This window comes from Homo sapiens, chromosome 3, assembly GCF_000001405.40.
Source record: "Homo sapiens chromosome 3, GRCh38.p14 Primary Assembly".
Taxonomy (NCBI): Eukaryota; Metazoa; Chordata; class Mammalia; order Primates; family Hominidae; genus Homo; species Homo sapiens.
In genome coordinates this window covers 163,198,193-163,213,506 of record NC_000003.12, presented here as the reverse complement: position 1 = coordinate 163,213,506, position 15,314 = coordinate 163,198,193, and the positions used below count along the sequence as shown (strand labels likewise).

Here is a 15,314-nt window from a genome sequence, read left to right as displayed (position 1 = left end):
TGACCAGGCTGGTCTCAAACTCCTGACCTCAAGTGATCTGCCAGCCTCGGCCTCCCAAACTGCTGGGATTACAGGCATGAGCCACCGTGCCCGGGCTGGACATTACTTTTAATAAAAATAAGGAGTCTGTGTCAATGACTGCAGCGTATCTTTTGTGTGTGTGTGTGTGTGTGTGTGTGTGTGTGTGTGTGCGTATTTTACGAGTTTTTCTAAAGGCTTTTTAAAGAATAAGATCCATTCTCTTTATGCTGGCTCTTATGCTCCAAATTCGGTTTTTGCAACACTATTTCTTCCTATCACACGGTACTCACCAGAATGAATGTTGTTCCTATCAACTGAGTAGTCTTATCTTATCTTTGCATATATTGTCTCCAAAAGGAGAAATTTTATCCCCTAATGAAATCCAACTTGGCTTCATTTTATCCTGTAGCCTTTTCTGAACATTTAAGTTCACTCTATATCTATTATTTAAAATTTACTTTTGGCCGGGCGCGGTGGCTCACGCCTGTAATCCCAGCACTTTGGGAGGCCGAGGCGGGCGGATCACGAGGTCAGGAGATCGAGACCATCCTGGCTAACACGGTGAAACCCCGTCTCTACTAAAAAAAAAATACAAAAAGTTAGCCGGGCGTGGTAGCGGGCGCCTGTAGTCCCAGCTACTCGGGAGGCTGAGGCAGGAGAATGGCGTGAACCCGGGAGGCGGAGCTTGCAGTGAGCCGAGATCGCGCCACTGCACTCCAGCCTGGGCGACAGAGCGAGACTCCGTCTCAAAAAAATAAAATAAAATAAAATAAAATTTACTTTTATCTACATTTGTGTTAAAAATGAATCATTATTTTACATATTAAAAATTAACTATTGGCTGGGCGTGATGGCTCACGCATGTAATCTAAGCACCACATTGGGAGGCCGAAGTGGGAGAATCATTTAAGGTCAAGAGTTTGAGACGAGTCTGGCCAACATGGTGAAACCCCATCTCTACCAAAAATACAAAAAATTAGTCAGGCATGGTGGTGGGTGCCTGTAATCCCAGCTATTCGGGAGGCTGAGGCAGGAGAATCACTTGAAGTGGGGAGGCAGAGGTTGCAGTGAGCCAAGATCGCTCCACTACACTCCAGCCTGGATGATAAGAGCGAGACTCTGTCTCAAAATAAATAAATAAATAAATAAATAAGAAATTAACTATTATAAGCATATAGTTGATATGATTATATCAATAACAAAAATATAGTGGTGCTAAATCATTTCTAGATATACTATTTTTATTATTGTTACATAAGAAATTCCTTGATTGAAGACTTAACTCTGCATTCCTTATGTTTACAAATCCTCTCAATGTGCCTACAATTATAGACTGAGGAAAAACCAAGTGAAAAATCTTTTAACTAAGTTTTCAAGAAAATTCAAAAAAGAAAACATTTTATGGCCATGAACATTCTCATTGGGTTCTATGTAGGAAAATGATTTAGAAAGTCAGTAAACAAGTAACTATAAACTATTTTGTAATTGCTGTTTGTCATTTTTGGGAAATGTCAACAGCTTAACTTTCCTTTAAGATGGTGTATTAAAAAGAATTATCACTGCATGCAGGTATTCTAGTTTTCTCCTTCGTTATCAATCAATATTTGAAAGAAGTTGAATACTGTTAAGATAATTTCCCAAAATAATTTTAAGACTTTGTTATCTGCATGTCTCTTGCATCACTTTTGTATGGTAAAATGAAATGATGCAATAAAAAAATACAGGGATTTCATTGTGTTGTCCAGCACTAAAATCAGCGCTCAGTTAATATTCTTCTTTTAAATAGTCAGAATTTTTTTTCAACATGATGGTTCCTTAATTTAAAATAATTTTAATAGCTTTTGATTAACATTCTTTTTATGGATAATTTTCTTTATTTGATAATCATTGTTCATAGACACACTTTATACTTATGCAAATTTTTGTGAGTTGTTATCTTGCAGACATAGATAATACTAACATCTTTATGTCTGTTAATTTTCTTTTAAATGTAAGATGGAGAGTTAGGCAAGAAGGTCAGTTGCATCTGTTTTGTCACTTGGCTCTGCACAGAATTACCAAGAGATACATAAAGCTTCCACTTAAGCCTTAGAATCGTAAGAATAAGAGTTATGACATACTGTGCACCAGCTTAAAAGCATCTAAAACTCCAGAGTGTGGAGCCTAACTGATTTTGTTCAGTACATTAATCAAAGCACCTTTGACAACTAGAATTACGTTGTTATTTATGTGAGGCACTCAAAACTGTTCTTGATACCCCAGTGGTATTTATTTCACTATTCTGGAGTAGTGACAGAGGGGGAAAATAAAGAAAACATCTCAGTTAAAATATCAAAACAGTAAATAAAAATGGTAAAATATTCATAATCAAACATACATGAACTACTTGACTTTTAGAACCAAACATTAATGCTGCATATTATCTATAATATGTTGCAGAAATAAGCTACAAAATATTTTATATTTGCTGTTTTCTTCCTAAGTAGTAAAATTATGTTTATATTATCTTTATTTTTATAGTTTGTAATATTATATGTTTTTAAATGTAGTCTCCCTCCCAATAAATGAACAGCAAACTAAAACTAAAATTTTAATCAATATCAAATATGGCTATATTTGTGTATTATTATTAAAAGTAATTAAAAGTTGAAAAAAATTCTGGGCTCGAAAAGAACACAGTTGTAGAAATAAGTATTTGACCATAGAAAATATAGAGAACTGAATAATAGCTGTTGGATTTAACTTTAGTATTTTTGTGTTTGCAAATTTAACAGGAAAGTTGCAAATTTAACAGATATGTTCTATTATTAAGCGTATTAAACCTGTACTATGTTACCAACAAAGTCTTAATTGGGACACCACATTATGATCCCTTGCTTCAACTACACTAATTCTAAATAACAGTGAACTGAATCCTGAAATCCAGAAATCTAGAGATCTGCCTTTATTTTTCTTTGATTTATACTTACTTATTGTTACTGTAGAAAATCTACATATTTCAAGATTTTCAGGACAGAAGAAGGCTGTTTTGAGGGAAAATATGTAATCAAATCCAGGAATGTTACTATGAGGGAAAATGGAAAGATGCATGTGCAACTAGATATTTGTTTAGGGAACCATCTAATTATCCTAAACAGCATTGATACAATTGCTTAGCTTATCAAAGTCAAATACAATCTCAAGTCCAGAACTAGGGCTATAACCACTTCTGTTTGTGGATAAGAATATGTACAACAATCATAGGTGGCACAATCACATTAATTAAAGCTTTAACTAAATGTAATAGAGAAAAACAAACAAAACTTATAATCTCAGTATGCTTATATGACTTGCACATTGCCATTTATCCCATATATATTAGCAAAATATGTTACTATAGAGGGACAATATGTCTCTGGCACAGCTCCAAATCATCCTTTTTTTTTTTTTTTTGAGATAAGATCTCAGTCTGTCATCTGGGCTGAAGTGTAGGGGCATGAATATGGCTCACTGCAGCCTCTACCTTTACCTTAAGTGATCTTCCTGCCTCAGCATCCCAAGTAGCTAGAACTACCAGTGTGTGCCACCATGTTTGGCTAGTTTATTTATATATTTATTTTTTGTAGAGACAGGGTCTTGCCATATTGTCCAGGCTGGTCTTGAACCTTTGGGCTCAGGCAATTCTCCTGTCTTGGCCTCACAAAATGTCAGGATTACAGGTGTGAGCCACCATGCCCAGCCTAAATTATACTTTTGAATAAAAAAATTTAATGCATGAACTATCTTCCATTCTAAAATTTCTAGTTCTAATTATTTATGTCATCTCATTGTTGCTTATTCTGGATAATTAGCATAATATTTAAATTTTAATACTGGAAAACAAATTCTCTACTTTTCCATAAATTAATCAATCCTTACCTTCAAAAGATGTATTAAATCAATTACTTATGACTTACTTTCCAAGATTTTTCAATTCATTTACGGAACATTTAAATTTTATTTTAAATTTACTAATTTTATCCAGGGAAAAAGGCACATTCATGTCTAAGATGGTCTCTGTGAGACAGTGAGGACTGGACTCACCCCAAGTTAGTACAAATACCTAATTTTTTATAAAATGTTAATATTTAATGTTACAAAGTTGGATTTTGTGAAACAGTGAACATTCTAAAGTTGTTGTTTTAAACAGACATAACTTTTCTCTTGTGAAGGCTAATTATATTTTACTAAATTTTAATTATTTTGTTACAAAATAGTTTTTGTTTATTTTAACTACATTACCTAGGAATGCTGTAAACAGCTCTCTATTTCTTTCTCTCAGAGAAACTTAAAAAAATCAGTAACTACCCTCTTAGTTAATGTCAAAATATTGAACCTTTTCCCCGTAAGACTGTGAACAAGGTGAATATCCTCATATATTCTACTTACAATCAGCATAGAACTTGAGATACTAGCCATTGTAATACAGCCAAAAAAATGAAATAGAATAAAGCTCAGAAATGAAAACATGTCTTTAATTCGATGGCATGATGATTAATGTAATAAATCATAAAAATTCTACAAGGCAACTCATAGATTAAGATAAGTTATCATGGTCTCAGAATACAATGTTAGTATACAACACCTGACAATACATTTCAATTCCAGTGATGAACAATTGTCAATGAGTTTTAAAATTCTATTTACAATAGCATCCAAAACATAAAATGCTTACAGATAAACTTTCTAAAAATATGGTGCACATTATTTCACATATTATTTTTAGAATATGTGTATGATATCTACACTAAGTGCTTCAATGCATTATCAAAAGAAACTTTTAAATACTTACATAAATAAAGTAATATCATGTGTATTAAAAGACTCAATATTGTTAATATGGTAATCCTCACCACATCTGTCTATTGATTTTAATTTAAATGCAGGTTTAATTTCAGAATTACAGTAGATTTTCTGTTAAAATGGGAAAGCTGATAGAAACGGGTATACACATATGTAGTTATCTTATTTTCAACCAAATTATCAAAACAGTTCAATGTAGATACACATTTAATTTGGAATAAACAGGAGAAAAAAATGAAACAACCCTTACCACACCTCAAATTAAAAACTAATTTCAGATTGTGTATTCGTCCATTTTCACGCTGCTATATAGAACTGCCAGAGACTGGGTAATTTATAAAGGGAAAAGGTTAATTGACTCACAGTTCAGCATGGCTGGGGCAGCCTCAGGAAACTTACAGTCATTGCAGAAGGCTAAGGGGATGCAAGGCACATTCTTCACAAGGTGCCAGGAAAGAGAAATGCTGAGCAAAGAAGGAAGAGTCCCTTACAAAACCGTCAGATCTCATGAGATTCACTCATGATCACAAGAACAGTATAGGTGAAACTGCCCCCCCATGATTTACTTACCTCCACGTGGTCACTCCCTTGATACGTGGAGATTACGAGGATTATGAGAATTACAATTCAAGATAAGATTTGGACAGCAACACAAAGCCTAACCATATCAGATGGGTAGTAGACTTAAACCTAAAAAAGGAAAACAATAATATCCTTAGGGTGGACAGCATAGGAAAACATTCATGACTGAAGTCTGGGAAGACAATTTTTTAACACAAGAACAGAAACAAATAACCATTACATGATAAATTAGACTTTAATAAAATCGAAATCGGCTCAATAAAAGACAATGTTAATTTATGTATACTTTTTCTTTTATTCTTATGATTTTTGTGTTTTCTCCAAGAAACTTTTGCCTGACCCATGATCACATAGGTGCCTAATATCAAGTTGAGAGAAATCTTACACTACAAATTTGCTGAGAGTTTGCACCATGAATAAATTCCAAATATTGTCAAAAGGTATTTCTGTCAGCTAAAATGATCTTATGTTTCTTATTTTATGTTACTTTGCAGAATTATACCGCTAGGTTTTAAAATGTTAATTAACTTTTCAGTATTCAGAGAAACCTACATGGCTATAATGTTTTAACTTTAAAAAATGTTGATGGATTTATTTGCCTGTATTTTAGCTATGGGTGTGTGCTTTTGTTCATGACAAATCTAGGTCTATAATTTATTTCCTTATTTCCTTATAATGTCTTAGTAAGGTTTTGACATTAGAATTATGCTGACACAATACAACAGTGGAGAAAGTTTCTTCTTTTTCTGTGTTCTGAATGTGGTTCTTCAGGTTTGATGTGTTGTCTCTTACATATTTAAGACTACAGAATGTTTCTTACTGTGATCAGATCCCACTTTATGAAGGGACTTTATCTTTGGAACTTTTCTTTTACTGGGAAATTATCCCTCAGTAATTCTAATGTAGCAACATCCCAAATGGGCATTGGGGAATATGTTCCTGGGATCAGCAGAGTTTTTGTGTCCTATTCTCTACCATGAAAGGTAAGGGTAAGATTAATTTTTATACCCAAATAGTCATATAGTTTTTTAGTACTGTCATTTGACTTTATTTACTTTGAGTGGAAAGGGTGGTCAGGTAAGAAATTTTGTTGTTGGTGGTGTTGGTATTTTTTGTTTTGTTTTGATTTGAGTTTGTGATTTTCAAATCTTTTGATATAAGTTTCTTGTTACCAATAATCATAGTCATAGGTCTTTTCAAGCTACTTTACCTGTTTTTTTTTGTTTCTTTTTGTTTTGTTTTTGTTTTAACCTTGTGCTTGTTGCCTAATGGGAAATAGTGGCAATATGACACTATTTGAGAAGGATTATCTATAGATCAACAAGGTTGTTTATTCAAAATTAGCTTCAGTAAATAACTTGGAACAGAGATCTCATATTCAAAATTAAATGTTAAGAAAAAGAAATTGCACTCAACATCACTTACTCTGCAAATCTGTTGAATCGCCATTGACTTAAACTATTAATCATAGCAAAATGCATTTTCAACTATTTATAGTTTTATATTTCTTAAGGGCTTATACTTAATGGGTATTGAAATCCCTCATATATTTTTAAGTAGGAATAACTAATTTGACTTTTTTCTTATTTAAAACTTTCTTGAAAACTAAGTGGAGAATTTCATTAGAAAGTACCTAACCTTATTGGATAAATGTTAATGATGTATTTTTTACATTAATTGTGTTATAATACCTTTGGAACAAAGAAAAAGAGTGAACAAATTAGAAGAAAGCAGGATTAATTTTAAAAGTCTAAGTTTATATGCTCCTTTAAGGTAAATGCATGCAGGAGAAATTTAAAAATTGGGTGATATATATTAGGCTAGCAGTTTCCAGTTTACCATTAGATAATAAAAGTAAGATCTGCTTTTGGCAAGGGACTGATTAGTTGCAGAAAGATGGAAAATCCATTCTTCTCTAAGAATCTTCTCTGCCAAGATGTATCTATTAAGGCTGGCCGCTTCAACCAGATCTTTATAGTACACTCTAGTGGAACTGTGGATCACAGTCATATTTAAGTAAGTTCACTTTAAATCACATAAAATGATAAAATAATGCTCAACTGGGCTGATGGAAAACAAAATCAGTCTATGTTTATCAGAAAATAGGAATTTCACTATAAATAATAAAGGCAATCATTGATTATAATATGAACACCAAGTGGGCATACATGTTTATATAAAAATATATATTTAATATACATGTGTATTATGATATTCAGTAGTAATCTAAAACAAAATATGAAAATGCTCTATTTTTCCTCATTTTACTTTTATTAAAAATGCAAAGGAATTGGAGTAACTAGAAATAAATCAGATGACAGAATTTAAGTTTAGAATAAAACAACAGATCATCTACTTTACCCTTCAAAAAGATAAAAAGGACATGTCTGCAGCCATTAACATACAACAAAATATCCATTCATTGGCAAAAAATAAATTTCGATCGCTTTTATTAAATTCCAACATTTTCTATTTATTATTTATTCCATTAAAAGCACTTGGAAAGTCAGAACAAAATCTAAAAACAATTTTGTAAAGGGATAAAAGTGTTTGTGAATGCCTGAATCCAACACACTCTTGTGCCTATGATCTATTGAGAAACATGTCAGGCAGTGAAATTTCTTTCAGTCTTTTAAAACCTCCACAGTGTTATTGTTAATAATATATGATCTATATAAAGGTGATGACAAGTGATGAAAGGAAAGGAACAGCTACTTAGAAAGAAATGCCGATTTCCTCTTGATGATGTGTTCTACTTGCTTCTGATGTCAAGACAGTAAAGCCCATTAATGAGAACTTTAATTTTGTGTTACTTTAAGATATAACAGGGTAGCTAGGTCTCCCTAACCTATCCTTCCACCCCTGATTATTTTGTCAATTTGATTTCCTTTGAGTCAGTGCTATTCTACAATCTTCCTGTTTAGCATTTGCTTTTATGGATTAGGCCTTTCACTCTCATCTTTCACACTTATAAAAAAGTAGATGTTTTCTAAAAGTGGTATTCACATGATTGAATTTTTATAATAGTAGAAAACATTATAGATGTCACCCAATGCCTTGTTGTTAGACGTTTGCACTCTGACATTGATGAAATATTTTCAAAGAAAAAAACAGTCTGAAGTCAAAGATTACCATAGTCATTACAGGCATTATACAAAAGTTGTGTATCAAAATGTAAACTATGCGAGTGCTACTAGATGCTAATGAGTAATATCTACAAAGGTTAAATATAAATGCACATAATTATAGCTTTCTTGTGACAAGAAATTATTACTTTCTTTCTTACCCACAAGACATAGCTTTAAAATAACAAACTGAAATGAAAGTATATTTATTCTGCAATCATAAGAGAACTAGCAAATGTAAAAATATAGCACAGCATTTGAGACAGTTTGAATATGTATTGCTACTGCCTGTAGAGAAGATTAAAAATTTCTAACCAATGAAGTTGTATATAATACCACATTTGAATTTTGAAATTTAAACTGGTAAGAAAATATATATTTTCATTTATGTCAAATTTATTACATGATCAGAGTGAAAATCTTAGAAAACGTCAACTAGTTCCAAGTTAAAATCTATAATGAAGTATTGTGAAGCAAGACTACCAGAGTAAAAGATTGTTTCATAAGAATAAATTAATCATGAATTAATTTTCCTGCATAAGAAACATAAATTATAAATCACTGTAAGATGTCCTGTGTTGAGTTTGGAAATGTAAGTTGCATTATTGAGTTGATTAATAGGCAGTTGCTCTATAATGTAGTTGTAGATTTCAGTTTAGATTAGATATAATCAGCATGATTATGAAAATGAGGGATACAAATAAATGTTAAGTGAAAAAATATAAATTGGATTTTATAATTATAATTAATAAAATCTGTGTATACATATGCATAGACACCAGGCTTGGAGAGAAACATTTAAAAGAAAACAACAATTTAAAATTTATAATAAGAAATTTATTTCTTTTGGGTTATTACTACAATAATTTTGATGAAGTAAATTTATTTTGGTAAATAAACTTCAGTAATCTTTTGAAGGTACTAAGAGGCCAATAATTTATAACATATAATACTCATAGAAATTAAAGTATAAGGATAATTTGAGGGACAATCTTGGATAATTAAGTTATACTAATTATTTCATACTTGCTGACTGGAAATAGGACAATTACAGTTCAAGAGTTTTTTTATGCATGACAGTTTAATTTGTTAGGGATTGCATATTTTTTCAGGTAAATATAATGTACTCAGAAGGCAAATTGTCCCTAAAGTCTCTCCTCTTACTTTTTAAGTTGTAAAATTTGCACCTTTGTCTTTCTTTTCTAAAACAAAGTAAATATACATTATTATCTAAAATCAAAAACAAATATAAATTAATGTAAGTTCTTAGCATGGCTTACAAGGACTTCTAAGATCCAGACCCTTGGAAACTCTCTGATCTCTTTGCCATTCATTATTTTTATATTTATTTATTATCTATATACTTATTTACTTGTTTTTTTGTTTGTTTGGTTTTTTGTTTGTTTGTTTGTTTTTTGATGGGGTCTCTCTCTGTCAGCCAGAATGGAGTGTAGTGGCGTGATCTTGGCTCACAACAACTTCTGCTTCCCACATTCAAGCGATCCTCCCACCTTATACTCCTGAGTAGCTGGAACCACAGGTGCGCACCTCCACGTCCATCTAATTTTTGTATTTTTGGTAGATATGGGGTTTTGCCATGTTGCCCAAGCTAGTTTTGAAGTCCTGAGCTCAACTGATCCTCCCGCCTCAGCCTCCCAAATTGTTGTAACTACAGGATAGAGCAACTGTGTCTGGAAATTTATTATTTTTCACTGGGATACAGCCACAATTTTTGTCCTCCTGTTCTTTGAGCACTCCATGTTTGATCTTGCCTCAGGGGACGTGCACTTGCCCTTGACGTTGCCTTGAGTGCTCCCCCAACCCTCCATATGCCCATCTGCCAGTCTCTTTCACTTTATTCAGGTCACTATGTTTATGACAAACCCTCAGAAATAATATTGCTAATTATTCTGTAAAAATAGTGGTATTTGCATTCATAGTTCCCTAGCATATTTTCAACCTTTATAAAAGACCATAGAGTCACCTTATTTTTATATGTGTGAATGTGTATGTTTGTGTGTATATGTGTGTGTGTGTGTGTTTCCTATCTACATCCTAAGGAATATCCACAGGGACATTTTCTGTCTTGTTTGCTGCTGTAGCCTAGAAGAGCATCTGATGGATATGCAGTGTTGAATACATATTTATTTGAATGAATTGATGAGTCAGTTAAGAAAGGCTTAATAGTCCAGGGATCAGCAAAAGTGATCCCATCATTCTTTTATTCTCCCAATCGCTATTGTGAAGAGCTATAAGGAAGAACCAATAAACAGTATTTAAGTTATGTACTGCATCCTTTGGCATTGATGTTACAGTATTTCACGAAAGGCCCAAGGTAAATAGACGTTTTACATTTTTAATTCTGGGAAGAATAGAGAATAGTTATATGACCATAAGTTTAAATGATACTAAGTGTCAGCTATCATTGGTGCGGCCCACCTGTGAGCCAATCATAAAACTGATTACAAATGTACATGTATGCTTAAATCTAGTTATAAATATGCGTGTGTGTGTGTGCATGGAATTTTAACAATGCTTTGTAAATACTTATTCATAACATTAAATATGACATTTCCATAGACATGATAACTTATTCTTAGTTTTACATAAAAAATATGCTCACTCAATCTCTTATTCTTAGACATTTGGGATGTTTTTCTCACCTTTTCTCTTTCATAATTCACTACTATTGAACTACTTTTTTCCAGGAATTCTAATTGGAACAGACAAAAACCCAATACATGTTTAAGCAGTAAAGTATTCATCAGGTCACAAAAAGAGGAGCAAGAGGAGCTGACTCTTTATGTCATATCTTGGCCTTGTAATTTGATTCTTTGCCAACATGCATGGTTTTTCTCCATAGGCTGTGCATTGGGGTAGGTTCGAGAGCCACAAACTAATTCAATTCTTTGTCAATCCAACTTAAAAAAAAAAAGAAAAAGGGTGAACATATTGCAGTTTCAGAATATATAAATATTAGGAAAAGCAATGCTTGATCCAGTTTAGACTAAGTTTCTATTTCATGAACAAGTCATTGTTGTCTAGAAGAAAGCCAGTAGCCACCCTTGTAAATAGAGCTTGTGCAGATGTGTCTGATATCAAATGGAAAGTTTCAATAATGTGGTATAAGAGTAGCAGACAATGAAGTAAAGGGATGCAATGTGCAGAAAACCTCATTCTAAATCACCTTACACCAAATTTTTATGAATCATTATTTATTTTCATAGGATATATTGTTAATATTATAGTATTAAAATACTAATCAAATAGATTTATTTCTATAACATGTAGTATGCATCATTGTGGATTTGATACTTAATATGTTTACTTAACACTATAGACAAACTACAATAAAGCCATGCCCTGACTGGATGTGCCTAACATTTGTCTGGTGCTTAAAGGAGTTGGCTGCATGCGTGGGTAAGTTATATAATTATTATATGATTTTTGTAAGTGAATATTAATATATATTTAAATCATAAAGCACAACGCTGTAAGGAAGAATTAGTAAGAATTTGAAAGATAGGATATGATGGAAAACACATTTTATTTCAAAGCCACAAGTTAGTATGTTATCCTGCTTATATAAGGAACAGTTTTGGTAGTATTCATATGATAAAATTTGGCATATAATTTGAATTTTAATACTTTTTAAAATTTTTAAGATGCTTAAATTCAAATCAAATATCTAATTTTTTACATACTACAAATATCTACAAACCTTTATTACTAGGTGGTTAATGTTTGCTGAGATATACAAAAAAAGGCTTATACTTTTAAAGAGCATATATTCTACTTGAGAAGACAGAAAAAACAGAAAACCCACAAGCAATGAATAAAATAAATAAATGCATATGTGCAATGTGGGATGCCAGAGGGATCTGCTCCACAAAATTCATCAGAAACCCACCCTAACTGAGGTTCCACTAACTTGGGACTGTACCAACTGGAGCACAAAGTCTTTTCGGGCATCACAACAGAGGAACATAGAGCCAAGGGGTTGTGTAGGACCTTGTAATGCCTAAGAACTTCACTCCTGTTTACATTGCATTGGCTATGTTCATAGCACAAATTAGATGAATGGATGTTTGAAAATATAGGGAGACAGTTAAAATATTGATGAGAACTGCTGTTTCTGTCATTCTGTCAAATAAAGAAAAAGATGTTTATTTTATAATGCAATGGTCGTATAAATGGAGCAAAAAATAATGAATAACTCTACCACATATGTGCTCAGTTCTTTCTATGAGGACATTATTAGTATGAAGCCAAAACTAGACAAATACATCACAGGGAAAAAATAGACTGCTGTAAATAAAAGTAAAAATACACCTATCTGAATTTGGGAGACACACTAAGTAAATGCTTAAAGAAATAAGTTTTAGCACTCTATGCATATATTGGAAAATTTGAAGTCTCAAATCAATACTCTAAAGTCCTACTTCAGGAACCTAGCAAAAGGAAAGCGAAATAAACCTAAAGCAAGAAGAAGGAAAAAAAATAAGGATAAGATCAGATATCAGTGAAGTTATAATGAAAAAATAGAAAAGCCTTTTCTTCAGGAAATATACATTTTGTATAAAAGAGGTTAAATTTAATGTTTATCAAACATGTTTATGGGAAAATAATTCTCATTTTTAGTAGAGAAAATGATGAATCACTTGCAGTTATTAAATCATAAATCACATGATATAATGATTTCCAAACACATTTATGTTAAGTATTCTACAAAGTATTAATTATATTACATTATAAAACCTAGAATGGAGAAGGAAAACAAATTTTTAGTTTCCTAAATGCTCAAAATAGTTAACAATAATAAATTAATTCATTTTATTATCTAACAATAAGTATTCTGATATAATAGCAATAAAAAATTTAAATGCTAATGAATATCCATAAGACTTGCATTGCTGCCAACAATATTACTTAGAAAACATTTATACTTTACTATCAGTTGGAAAGTCTGTAAAAATGTCTTGAACTTGGCCTGTTTTCTGATTCAGGATGGAGAAGGATTCAACATTTAATGGCAGTTAGAATCAAATTTTTAACTCAAGAAGGCAGAAGGAATCCACCTAAATGTAAATGTTTTCCTAATAATAAACTTCAAATACTAATTTAAATTAAAAATATTATGTCAGAAATGAATGATTAATTCAATATTAATTCCTGTGCTCCCTTGCATTACTTGATGTTTCAGAAATGTTGGAAAGTCACCAAAAATAGTTCTCCAAGTCAGAAGCGGTGCAAAAGCTGCCTCAGCTCTTGGTGGATTTTCAATTTCTCCCAGCCATCTCTGTTTCGCTAAAGGTTTCTGAAGACAGTGGGTATGTGGCAAACTTCTGCAATTCTATATTAAGATAAACTGTTAGATCAATTATGTGTGTCATATTATCTTCCTTCTGCAGAGTTTGAGAATTATATTTCTTACCTGTTTGCTTCAGGGACAACTTGTTTGGAAAAAAAATCACCCAGGGTTAAACATCATATTCTTTAGAACCCAAAAAGCATTGATCCATTTATATCCAGCTTCAAATACCATGCTAGTATTCCCAACTTAAGGGCCACCATATTGATGCATGCTAATGTGCCAACAGTTTCATCCACTATTTTATTTTATTTATTTATTTATTTATTTGAGATGGAGTTTTGCTCTGGTCACCCAGGCTGGAGTTCAATGGCATGATCTTGGCTCACTGTCACCTCTGCCTGCTGTGTTCAAGTGATTCTCCAGCCTCAGCCCTCCCGAGTAGCTGGAATTATGGGCGCCCACCACCATGCCTGGCTAATTTTTGTATTTTTAGTAGAGACAGGGTTTCGCCATGTTGGCCAGACTGATCTCCAACTCCTGACCTCAGATGATTCGCTCACCTCGGCCTCCCAAAGTGCTAGAATTACAGGCATGAGCCACAGTGCCTGGCCTCACCCACTAATTTTTAGACACCATTAGTGTAAGTGTCATCAAAATAAAAAAGACAAATAATCTATTAATATTATGTTACTGTAGTTTTGTCCTCACAGACCCTCAGGTAGCTTCTGGGGACCATCATGGTCCCACAGACCATTCTTTGAGAATTGCTATCACAGAGAAAATAAACCTTTGACACATCATAACTGCACTCTAAATATAGGATTTGTATATGCTGAAGAATTTCAATAAAGATCTGGAACAGCAGCTGCAATTAAGAGTTGCCATTATATCAAACTTTTTATAATAATTTATCTTCCATCCCCAAGATACACCTATAGTCAAATTATAAAATCTATTCAGGGAGGTGTTATAACTCATTATGACACTGAAGCATTTTTCAAAACTGTAATGGTTTTGCAGCCCTCAGGATCATGGGCTTGCTTTCTTCTGGTAGGAAAGAAGTTCCAATGATCCTGGCTTGCTAAATTTGCCATCATATTTTTAACCCTGTGGATCTGGGAGCCACCATAGATAATTTGTTTAGATCTAGACCATATTGAGTCTATTGAAAGGTGCATATTGGTTAAAATTAGTGACTATCCATAAGCTTCCATTCTGAGTAATAAACCAAAATTGTTTTATGGGTTGTCAAAAATTACTTTCTGTCAGTTTTTACTGTCCAGTCATTTAAATATTGGGTATTTACTTTTCTACTATGATTACCTTATTTAATATCCACTGGCCACTGTCAGGGAGACTTGGAGAAAATATTCACTGAATGTAACTGTGGTGTTATTTCAACAACTCTTCTTCATTCAAGTTGTTCAGCATGGGGAGATTTATGACAGAGC

At 32.6% G+C, this 15,314-nt stretch overlaps 1 long non-coding RNA gene across 1 annotated transcript in view; it reads left to right on the top strand.

Annotated features, from left to right (window-relative positions):
• The window catches only part of LINC01192 (long intergenic non-protein coding RNA 1192), a 126,059-nt gene that overhangs the window by 89,795 nt on the left and 20,950 nt on the right, over positions 1-15,314 (top strand). Inside the window, exons 3-4 of the long non-coding RNA NR_033945.1 lie at positions 11,890-11,969; positions 13,753-13,879. This is a non-coding gene — a long non-coding RNA (long intergenic non-protein coding RNA 1192). The remainder of the gene's footprint in view (positions 1-11,889; positions 11,970-13,752; positions 13,880-15,314) is intronic.